General features: G+C 34.7%; 1 long non-coding RNA gene across 1 annotated transcript in view; it reads left to right on the top strand.

Moving 5' to 3' along the window:
• LOC102723724 (uncharacterized) overlaps positions 1 to 12,454 on the top strand; it is a 104,643-nt gene that overhangs the window by 69,839 nt on the left and 22,350 nt on the right. Inside the window, exon 3 of the long non-coding RNA XR_428030.5 lies at positions 1 to 12,454. This exon is cut by the window's left edge and continues 17,719 nt beyond it. This is a non-coding gene — a long non-coding RNA (uncharacterized LOC102723724).

Raw genomic sequence — 12,454 nt, 5'->3', positions numbered from 1 at the left:
ACAATACAAAATATACAAGAAATTTTTATTATCCAATAAAATGACAACTGGGTGATGTCAGAAAAAGATAAATTGATATAGAAATATTTGTGGATTGATAACTCAAAAATTCTCAATTGGAAAAATTCTACTATAATACTTGGTTCTTGGAAATGTGGCCATTCAATTAATTAAGCACTGGAAGAATTGCTTTTTGCAAATTATTACTAAGTGATTCATTTTTGCTTCACTTGCCTGCATACCAGGAACATACTACATTCTGGGGTATTCAGTTTTTCTTATACTGAAAGTTTCCTCTCTTTTGATTCTACTTTAAGGTCTCAGTTCTATTCCTAATAAGATGGTAGTGACTACCTCTGTATGTTTACTCATATACCATATTGTATCTAATCTATAGCATACCATATAACTGATGTTATTATGAGGAGTGGAGCCACATCAAGTGATGCTTTAGAAATGTATATGGATTTTTTGGTTGTAAAAGTGTATTGGGAGTAACCGCACACATTTCACTGGGGGATGGCTGGGGTACCAGATGTCCTGCAGTGCATAAGTTCATCATATAACATGAAGAAAAACTTTTCAGCCCCTGCAAGACCTTTTGACCTCTTTTGAACTCCTGTCAGTTATTCATGCAAAGTCGAGTGAGGAGACTCTGTATTATTTGGACCAAGAACCAAATTATCTTTTACTTATAAACAAAATAATTTGTACTGTTTTAATTTAAATTTTCCAGAAAACAACTATAAGGTAAATTTAAAAAAGAGCATACTTTGTTGTTTGAAATTTCACCAAAATAAAATTGCATCATCAATAAGAATGTCACTTTAGTGTTTGAGGGAATAATTCCAAACTGTACTTTTCTGTATTTGTAGTTACTAGGTTTGTATTTATTTTATGTATCACTGTGATCTTCTGACCACTCAACTGTACCTCATATACTTTTATGCTTTTTAAATCTGTAAACGTATCAAGAGATTTTAAAAACTGAAAATGCAGATGGAAACCTGCATTTTATTTCTATTCTCCTTGTTGGGAATGTTTTCTCATAATAGTTCCTAAAAATAACTACTATGGCGTTAATCATTTATAAAATAAGATAATGATCATTTTATATACCCCCTGTACATATTGACTTAATAATGTCTGTAAGACTTAGATTTAAAGCAATGCAAAGAAAGATTCAAATGAAGGCAGTGTGGGCATGGTGGTTCTACATTTTTTTGAGTGGAACTTCATTCATTAAGTATTTTAATTTCATTAACTTTAAGACTTTATGAGAATTAGATACTAGTTATGAAATGTGAATCAGCTGTCGTAGTTTTCAATTTGGAGGCTTTACCATCAACCCATTAAGATCATTGATCCTTTTGTATTCACAGTAAAAAGAGCAGTATCTGACTTAAATTAGCTTTCCCTTTTCTTTGAAAAGTAACAAAAATAAGAGTGTAGTGTTCAAATAAAATTGACCCCATGAAAATCTCATAAGGTTTGTCCGGAAACATTTTTAGCCATTTTCAACAGTATTCAACTGCTCCTTTTACAGGTCCTTTTATATAATAATCAATATATGCATAGAGAATTGGTACCAATTCTCTTATTTCAAGCTAGCAAGAAAAACAGATCAATAAATCATGAACTTTCTTTGCTGCTTCTTTCAACTTTAACAAAACAATTTTTCCAACCACTAAGCCAGTAGCCAATATTGTGATAAAGCTGTTTCTAAGTTCAGAATGTTCTGAGATTGATACAGACCCCAGAGTACACTTATTTATTTCTAAATACTAAAAAAAAAAATTATAACTGGTATTCTTGAACTCCCTCCTAACATCAGGAAATAATGCATTTATTTCATTAACAAATGTAATAATTAGCAGGTGAAAATAAAGTATTTGCATCATTTCTTCTTTTAAAGAGACTGTGATAGTAATAGAAACTTGATTAGCTGCAGCCTATAATCTAGAAAAGTTAGTTGAATTTAATAACCACAATTAATTACTGTAGTTCACCAATATGGTTTATAAATATGGGAAAATATTCCCTGATATAGAGAGTACTACAAATAAATATGTTATAGCTCACTTTCCACAAATGCTTAACTATATTAAGAAAGCCATTTCATTTATCTGACACTAATTTTTTCTAGCCTTCAAAGATGGTATTTGATTAAATGTTCTCTAAATTTCTTTCCCCTTTAATAATCTGTTACAGTCTCTGTTTAGACTGAAATTCAGTTTAGATTATAGGACAATTAGGTTGATTCTTAATCAGTGGATCAAAACTTCCAGATTAAATAAATTGGATATTGTTGTGTCTTTTGGAGGAAGACATACAAAGAATAATCATCAAAAAGTCAAGAGACACACAACTTTAACAGACAGTAAACATAGTACATATGAAAAATGGAAGTCTATGTGACCTCTTCATTGAAACTATAATTGAAAAGTATAACATGCATAATCAATGATAAATTTCTAAGTATGGTGATATGGTTTGGCTATGTGTCTTCACCCAAATCTCATGTCGAATTGTAATCCTCAATATTGGAGGAGGAGGCCTACTGGGAGGTGATTAGATCATGGCAGCAGACATCCCCCTGGCTGTTCTCAAGACAGTGAGTGAGTTCTCACAAGATCTGGTGTTTAGAAGTGTGTAGGACTTCCCTCTTTACTCTCTCTTCCTCCTGCTCCAGCCATGTAGGATGTGCAGGCTTCTCCTTTGCCTTGTGACATGATTGTGAATTTCCTGAGGCCTCCCCAGCCATCCTTCCTGTATATCCTGTGGAACCGTGAGCCAATTAAACCTCTTTCTTTATAAATTACCCAGTCTCAGATAGTTCTTTACAGCAGTTTGAGAATGGACTAATACGTATAGTAAAGGAAGACCTAGAAAAGAAAAACTGCCTTAAAAAGGCCTAGAGATTTTAGAAGACCACAAGACCAATACCTACAAATGATGTGATGTGTTTAAAAGAGCAAACAAAGATCTTGGGTACAATTGTGAAAATACAATATCTTGGTTTATGAAAACAATAGAGCCTGTATTCTCTCTGCTAATGAGATCACTTCTAAAAATGTTTATTTTAGGGTGTCAGAGCTATAAAGGAACTTAGAAAAACTGGAATAGTGGGTAGTCAATGTTATGAGAAATGTAGACATGTTGATGAATTTTAGCTCAATGTCATACCAAAGTTTTAATTTTTTAATATTTTCTTGTAATTAAATATATTACCTTGTGTAATTAATAATAATCTTCAATAAGAGATACAGTAACACTCTGTTAGTAATGCTGAGAAAAAAAAGTTCTCATATAAACAAAAAGGTGAATTAGAGGGCCAATGAAATTCTTCAAAATATGATCTGTAGAAGTGGAGGCTAAAGATGAATGTGTACAGAATCTGGATAATGAAAGTAAAATTGCCCCCTGTATGAGCCTTGTGTACTATAAAACATCCATTTCTTATCCATGATCCTGGCCACTTGGGAACATGGCTGAAGTTAGAAAACAATACTTTCACTGTACTCAGTATAAGTGGCCTGATTTATCACCTCCCCACTTTTCGCACCATAGAACATATTAGCTGAAGTGAGAATGAGTACAGTTCTCTTATTCATTTGTCAAGAGTATCATTCTGTTCATGTTCTGGTGTAGGAAATTAATATCATTAGAGAAGAAGAAAAGGTTCTGTTATTTTCCAATTCTAGTCATCATCCTAGTATTTCCCTGACTCAAAGTAATGTAGCAATTTCAATTACCTACTGGCTAGTATTGAGATGATTTTACTTACAACTCATGGAAATATTTTGTTTTGTTTATTTCCATTTTGGAATTGGAATTCTAGAGGATATTTATCTCCCTGTGTTTCTGCTTGACTACTTTCCTTGTGTAAAAATATCCAAATTATTTGTTTAAGTTCCCCACTGTCAGAAAAGGTTATGTAAATGAATATGTGACCTATATATAGGAAGTAGTCCCTTATGGTTTAATCCCTCTTACAATCACTGACTTAATAAAACAAATCCTTGCAGGAAATGTGATGCTGACCTACCTTTCAAAATAATGTATTAAAAAACAGCCCTGATTGTGTGGCAATAATATGTTGATAAAAATCTACTTGTATCAAAAAATGCAAGCCAATTTTGTGTGCCTGTATATATTTGTTTTGTGGAAATGGCCCAGATTTATTTTTATTTTTCTGATTTTAGTTTTCTTGCTAACTTCACATTAAACAAATAAATTAGTTAAGTGCGAAGTAATATTATTAGAGGAACGGTTTCAAGAATGTCTGTGAAATTGCATTTTAATACCCATTAGACATGGTTCTTCTTCTCTATAAACTTCTCTCCAACATTGAAAATGCAATTCTGCAGCATTAAGCAAAAGGCATATTTGAAATAAAGCTTGATTTTCAATCACTGAGCTAAACCTATTTCAAATAAACACCAGAATTCAATTAAATAGGAGTAAACTCTTCAGCTTGACCCACTACCATTTCAATGCTTCGTATTCTGAAAGTTTTAATAGGGAACACAAGACTTGAGTTGAATCTGATTTGGAGAATCCGAATGATCTGGCTGACCGGAAAAATGATAAGAGATGGGGAGAATGATTGCTCTTTGGGAGATAAAAGTTTTTGAGAAACAAGTTAGTAGAGAAACGCTTTCGAAACGCTGATGCTGACAAATGTGAAGCAGGTTCCCGGTGCGCTGATTACCAATTTGTCTGAGTCCAGTGAAACAGAACACTCACATACAGCACAAGTTATAGGAAGCAGATTTATCACTTACAGATAGGCAATGAGGGACAACAGAAGCCTAGGATGCACCACAAGCCAGTCTCCCATGGCTCAGGAAAGCTACCCAGGGTGGATCAAGTCTCTGCTGTGCATGCCCAATTACACCACAGTGGAGGGACCCTCAATGGCAGCCTGCCCCAAGTCATACACCTCAGGGTCACATTAACCACTGGACTAAATTGTTGAAGAATACCCTGTTCTGGGAAGATGAGGGAGCTGCAAAAGAGCCTATAGTATTCCAGCCACTTCCTCCTTACCTCAGGATTTTACATTCCCAGAACATCCTAGTTATTCTTGAAACCTACAAGCAAAACGGGGAACTGGGTTGGTCCAAGGCCACCCAAAGAACAGTCTTGTAACAAGGAAGCAATCATTCTTGAGAAAGCAGAAAGGCCCCAAATTGGCTTCAGGAAGACCCATGGGTCTTTTTATCAATTTTGTTTGAATACTCCCAGAGGCAGGTGGCATAACACCATTGCAATCCAGAAGGCAAATAATCTATGAATATATGCCCAGTTGTCTCCAGGAAGTAAGAAATTTACCTTGTCTACACCCATGGTTTTATATGCTGCCCATATATTAATAGAGGGAAGAGGGAGAGGGTCCTCAGTAATCAGTAATTGTAAACATTCATGCTTGTTGGAATGGTCTTCCCATGGCCCAGTACTTTCTGCTGCAAAAGAGCACCCTCAGTATGATGGACAAATTGCTAGTCAAATTGAGAAATTTGAGTAAAGTCAGAGAGACTTTGTCAAAAAAAAAATCCCTACTGGCACAGAAGCTCTGTAGAGAAGACATACTCTATATAGAACACAGAATTAAGATTTACCCAGTATGGTATGCCTACAATTACATAAGTTGGAATTTCCTTGGGAAGTGATTTTGGCAAATGTTGAAGAGAAAATCAGCACCTATTTATAGAAACCAGAATTTAAAAAAAAATCCTTTGAGTGGGGTGGTCTTTCTCAAACTTGAAGAGATAACCAAGCCAGATTTGATTAGATAATTTAAAAGTTTATCCATGTGCCCAGCTCTCTGCACAAACACCCTAAAGAAAGTAAATTCTTTGGGAGAGGCAACTGTATAATTTTTAAAGCTTAGGCTAAATATGATGTAGTGCCAAAACTACAGATTTTTTGAGAAGTTTAGATGTCTATCTAAAAAGCATTTTAAAGTAGGTTTGAAAAAAATTCAGGATTATTTTAAGAATGGACATCTCTATGAGAAGGGTTAAGAGGAACATTGAAAACATTGCCCTGCAAGGTTATCCAAGGCATGTATCAATGTCTCAGTGAACAGTCACTTGCTTAGAAGCCTTTGGTAGTGAGGATTTGCATATTAAATTACTGGACACCTACCGGAAAGCAGGAGAAGCATCCAAGATATGCATATTGATTCTGGAAACGCTGAAATAGCAAGTTGAAGAGAGAAGGGGACTATCACTGGGAACATCATATCAGAATTCATCAGAGAAAATGCCAACAGGAGCTGTCTTTTACTTAATATAGTGAGAAAAGTGTGAGCTTCCAATGACAACAGGACCAGGCACAGCTCCTGTGGAGAGCACGCAGAAGATAGGAGCAAATCTTTAGGCCATCCTCTTCTCCTGTTCCAATGGATGGTTACACAAGGATGGGAGTTGGGTGGGGTAAAAAATGCAATGGGAAATATTATCCTACTTTGGGAGGTGAAGGATAATCAGATAATGATTTTCAAAACTGAAGGGAGACAGAGGCAAGTAGAAAATAAGGCAAAGAGAATTACCTAGAATGTTTACTCTTATGTATAGCTTGGTTTTATGACCTGGCTGGTTGTGATTCCCATATATTAATAAGTGGGTTCATGGTCAGGACTTACAGGGCCAGGGCCAGGGTGAAGACTTTTAACATGAAAATTATTTGATTTAACCTCAGAATTTAATGTTACAGAAATTCTCAAAGATTGTATCAAGGTACATTGCTCAGTGTCATAGTACACCTACTACTAGATAGGATTCTTTCAGGGACATATGTCTGGTGTGTAAACTAACATTCTTTCTCTGTTTGCTAGTTGCTCTGAGGTTACTACAGCAGCCCCTGATTTATCTATGTGGACAATATCCACAGAATTTAAGCATTATGGTCCTGTTGCCTTGTGATAATGAAAAAGCATCTAACTCTACATTACTAGATGTCAATTTTGCTACAAAACTTGGATTTTGACAATCACACTTCCACCTTATACACACTTGGGCAAGAAAGTTTCTATTAGAGCCCGGAGAAATACCACCTACAGACAAGATCCTTAGATTTCAGAGATTAAAGATGTTGTAAAGCAGGGACTCCCTATCACCCAGTGGAGCATGAACAAGTTGAAATTACACGCCCTTTCTGAATGAAGAATGTAGCCCATGCATTTGTTAGCTCAGTGGTACTTGTGGTCACAGATAAACCCCACAATACCAGTGTTTTAAAACAGATAAAATTCATTTCTTATTCTTACGAAGTTGAAAATATAGTTATGTGCTTGAGCTGATTCACATCAGATCACAAAAACTGACTAGTTAATTTTCAGTAATTGTGTGAGCCAATTGTTAGTCATAGTCATTATTTTAAAATAAACACATAATTAAATTATATTAAAAACAAATCTAATTAATAATCAAAATCCATCACATCCTAATAATGCTACTAATATCTCTGCTGTAGTGGTTATTAACTTCTATTGTATTTGTATAATAGAAATTTTATGAAATGGCGTGATATGCACATCTCTTCCTAACTCTGTATTCAGTGCTGAGACCTTAGCATGAACACGGTCCAATTTAAAAGTCATCAAAGGCAACCTACTTACTAAATATTTTGTCACATAACATAGGTCTCCATCTTCCCATCCTCCAACATCAATTTCCTTGTAATCTGCACCCCAGTGCCTAGGTCAATATTATCATTTTTAGGTTTTGGCCGGCAATATCACATTCTAACTCATTTCCATATTAGTTAGGATAACAACATCTACAGCAACTCCAAGACATCAGTGAATTAATAAATTTGCACTTTATTTCTGGCTCACATAAATCCACAAATGTTGCTATTCTCCTCCAAATGACTCTTTGCATCCTGAGGCTCAATCTTTGACACCTGATTTCCAAATTTCCCCAGGGATCCATCCTATCTAGCCAGAATGGAAAAAAAAAAAAAAAAAAGCAAAGAGGATCGTGTGGGAAGGATCTATGGACCAGACCTGAGGATAGCACATACCATCTTTCTCTTGTATAGAACTCAGTTTCAGGCCACATGGATGCTGGGAAATAGAGACATCTGTGTGCACAGGTAGAAAATAACATAGTTCTAGTGAGGAGCCAGCATGCCTGTGCACACCCTCAGATGTGTGAACTCAGAGTCACACGTAGTAACTTTCTTACCTATCAACCAATATCTCATCTGATACCACCCAAGCCAACTCAAATAGTCACGACATCAGTTAATGCCATCATTATCTGGTACTTAGGAAATTGAGCTCAGAGAGGTGAAGTGACTTGCAACAGTCAAAATGGAACTGACAGAAGCCATGGTAGAAGCTGTGCTCATAAACATATTTGGTTGAAGTATGTACTCTGCCTCAGCTTACCTCCCTTCTTCCTTATCCAAACATGCTGGAGTAACCTTAGCATATCCCTGGAGTTTAAGGGCTATGCTGAAATAATCGCTGTTCTGTGTCATCTCTGGTTAAATTTCTCCAAGCTGGCTCAGGACTCCCAAAAACCTCTCTTTCAGCAGGTAAAGCTCTCAAGACGTAAGATAGTATGGCAAGAAATTAGTAGGGATAGAAGAAATTATTTAGTTTCATCTTAAATGTTTATAGCATATTGCATCATTAAACTTTTACATGAATTTGTTTGGGATAGTTTTACTAATGGTAAAAATAATATCTTTACATTGAGCTAAATTTGCCTCCATGTAATTCCTATGGATTGTTTCCTAACTGAATTGCAGGGAAGAATAATGTAAGTGTAATTCTTCCAAGTTACAAATTTTTAAATATTTAGAAGTGACCATCTCACCCCAGTTTTCTGTTTTACATGAAATAATTACAGGTCCTTTACCTGTCTATTTTATGGCATCAGTTCTGCAGCCTTTATCTTCCTCAATACCTTTTGAAAATATGGTACCTAGAAGGTAATTTAATTTCCCAGGTGTGCTCTGAGCATTAGATTAGGAATGCTCTCCATTATGGACTATGCATTCTTCTTTATTTCTTTTTCTCCCACTGTGGTTCCTCTGGGAAGGCATTGCTTTTTTTCATCATAGAATTATTATTACTATTTCAACACTGAACTTCCTTTCTCATTATATGTTTGGCCCTGAATACTGTCTCCTCCGTATCCCTATTTCTACAACATCATTCACAGTAATGAGATCTATTGTTACTCATCTGGTTATTAAATCAGCTCCTGTTGTCTATAGGTTTGTATTTTCATCATTAGTTCTGTATCCTAAATACTTCAAGTAAGCAATTCCATTTGCCCACAGTAATCAATATGCATTTAATATTTCATTGGTTTTTACCACTATCAGTTAACCATGATTTTACCAACTAGTACTTCCTTAATTACAAAGTACTAAAAAAGATCTTTTTCTTAATCTTTGGCAACATCAATATCAGCATATTTGATTATGAATAACAATATATTTAAAGATAAAGATGACTTCCTGATTTAATGCTTGATTCAATTTCCTCTCTAGACCCAGGAGGGAGTTATTTAAGAGATCCCAATTAGGAATGATTTGAATTAATTGCAGCAACATAACGTACACACTGCATTGCATTCCCAATTAAGTTAGAAAGAGATGGAAGATATTCTGCTGACAGCATGTCTTTATTGGGCTAATAGTCATTATTTACGTATCATCAATTCTTTATCTAATGTCAAGTATTTTGTTTCTTCAGAACACAAATAAGCATTATTAAGAAAAAACAATACCAATGAATAATAAATTTAGTGAATAAGAATAAGATTGGAAAATGCAGCATAAATTGACGAATCCTCAAGTACCCAAATCTTTACTTCTGTCTGCACATAAAAATTAGATGTCAACACTATGTAGGATTTGGATGACTCCCTGGAGCCCATTCTGACCTCAGATAAAAGCTAAATATATTGAGCCTTAATTGATTTCCATTTGATACTGAAGTTAAAATGTATCATGGAGCATGTGGAGATTCTTACAGTGTTTAGAATATTCATAAAACTAAATTATTCTCAGAGGGAAAAATGCTTTAATAATGACACATTAGAATGGTAAGTATTCTTTTAGTAATAATAATCATTGGCTCTTAATCATAAAATATTAGCTTCAAACTATTACACTATTTTTAAAAGATTGTTTTTATTGTGTTTAATATCGTTTTCCAATTTAATTCTAATTTTCGTTTGATGTTTTTATGTAATATGAACAAACATATGACTTGAATTAACAACATCAATACTTTAAATCTCAGATTTGCTACTTGTTTTTGTGTGACAGTGTATACGTCAGTTTAGCTTGCATGATTCTCATTTTATTCATGTGTAAATTTAAGAATATACCATTTCTTTCACCAAATGTTAGTTGCTGAATAAATGCATAGATGTGTGTGTGTGCACACACATGCATGTGCACAGAGGTGGGGGGAGAGAGAAAAGAAAGGGAGAGATTGTTATTTTGTTTTGGATCAAAATATTTCTCCCACAGGATGTTCTTTGCACAAAGGCAAATCCCTATATGTAAATGGTAGAACACTTGAATAAGATACTGTGGTTTTATGGGAGAATTTTAATCAAATAATTTAATTTGATAATATGTGCCTATTGCACGTATATAGAATTAGACTAATCCCTCCTCCACATGACCCCTCTGATTGAAGTCAATTCCAAATTCTAGCTGATACCTACAAAATGTAACTCAATGGATTTGAAAAAACTCATTTTAAAAGAAATCAATTAATTTTTTTTCAAAAATATATCTAGAGAGCCAAATTATCAGTTTGATCCTCCCATCAATTCACCAGTTGACTGGTTGTGGTTGTCAGTTATGCAGGCCTAGACTTAATTGAAGCTGAATATAGTGTTTTTCTGAAAGCGGAGGAAGCCATCCTGGATCCCAGAAGCTATTATAGTTTCATTACATGTAGTTTTGTGAGGCAAGTACCCAGACTAATGAAGTCTAATTTCCTGCAGATTAAAAAAGAGAAGTGATAAGATATCACTGATGTTAGGTAAAGAAATTCTGAATATAGCACATTTATTCTGTTAAATTACTCATGAACACATGAAAACGTGGTTGCAAGCTAACGGGAGGGCCACTAGTATTTTCTTCCTTTGAGAGCTGTGGGGGTGTGGGAAATTCAAGAGCCCATTCTGTAATCTTAAAGCCTTTCAAGTAAAAACTCTGTGGGTGATCTCATTTCAAGATAAAGTTAAACTAATATCACAGGTCAAAACTTGCCAGCCAAGAAACCTAAAGAAAATATACAATTATCACTACCAGGAATGCACGTAATATTTGTAACCTAGAAAACCACTAAAGAAGAATGCTATTTGTATTGAGCTTAACATTGCATTCATTTTGAACAAATGAACAATATATGGGTATAAGTACCTACATTCTAAAAATATATCACACCTACAAATTTATAGCACTAGGAAATATCAGTAGAAAATCAGCTGTCAGTTTACTAGAAATATCAGGTAATTCAGACTGTCCAATGTTAAAATTAGTCTTAAAAAGCACGTTATTGCTATCATAAACCATTAAAGGTGGTTTATAACCAGGGGAAAAATCCTTTAAAATCCTTCACTACTACAATTCACAAGCCATTGCTACAATTCACAACTCGTTTGTTAGAGTCTTAACCGCCCTCAGCTTTGCCTTGGGCCATTAACTAACAAACCAATCATTAACTGCTAGTAATGACCACTTTCCCAGGGATTATTGCTTAATTCAACTCTTGTGTGGGATCCATTATTTTCTGAGATGTCAAAATAACTATGCATTAAGACATTTTTCTGTAATAAAAGCACCTCCTGAAATAAACAATGTGAATGTCAGAGAATTAAATTGTTCAGTGTACACACTATTTAAAATACATTACTTTAATGAACAATTCTGATGTTTCGAGGGAACATTCTCATTTTTTCGCTCTCCTGAGCATATCTATCATGTAACTTAGATGCAGAATTAATATGTATTTTTCTTCAGTAAAACACACAATGTCAAGACATTTATATTAGTAAACTGTGTTCTATATTCATCTGAGTAAGGCACATTTGATTATTAGCATTCTGCTCCTGAGAAACAAGGCAGGTTTGCTTGTCTGTTGCCATGGAAATAAATTAGGAAGGATAACCTGCCTACTTATCAATTTTTATTAATGCAATCAGCCTACCTGCTTAACCCATAAGTAACAATAGCACATTTAAACTAAGCCAATAAAGCCCTGTAACTCTAGGGGTGCCAGTTAAAGTAAATAGGATAGAAAATTGCTGAAATAAAAAGTCTGAGTTATGTGTCATAGTTATGGGCCCCATTAATATTACAGGATAAAGAATGTTGCCATTGAGAGGGCTCTAATGGTGGAATTACCTTCAACTAACATTTACTGAGAGGAGGAGAGGCAACTGAGACAAGAAGTCAAGAG

This window comes from Homo sapiens, chromosome 6 (assembly GCF_000001405.40).
Source record: "Homo sapiens chromosome 6, GRCh38.p14 Primary Assembly".
NCBI classification, from domain to species: domain Eukaryota; kingdom Metazoa; phylum Chordata; class Mammalia; order Primates; family Hominidae; genus Homo; species Homo sapiens.
The sequence above is the reverse complement of the archived record's forward strand: the minus strand, read 5'-3'. Positions and strand labels throughout refer to the sequence as shown.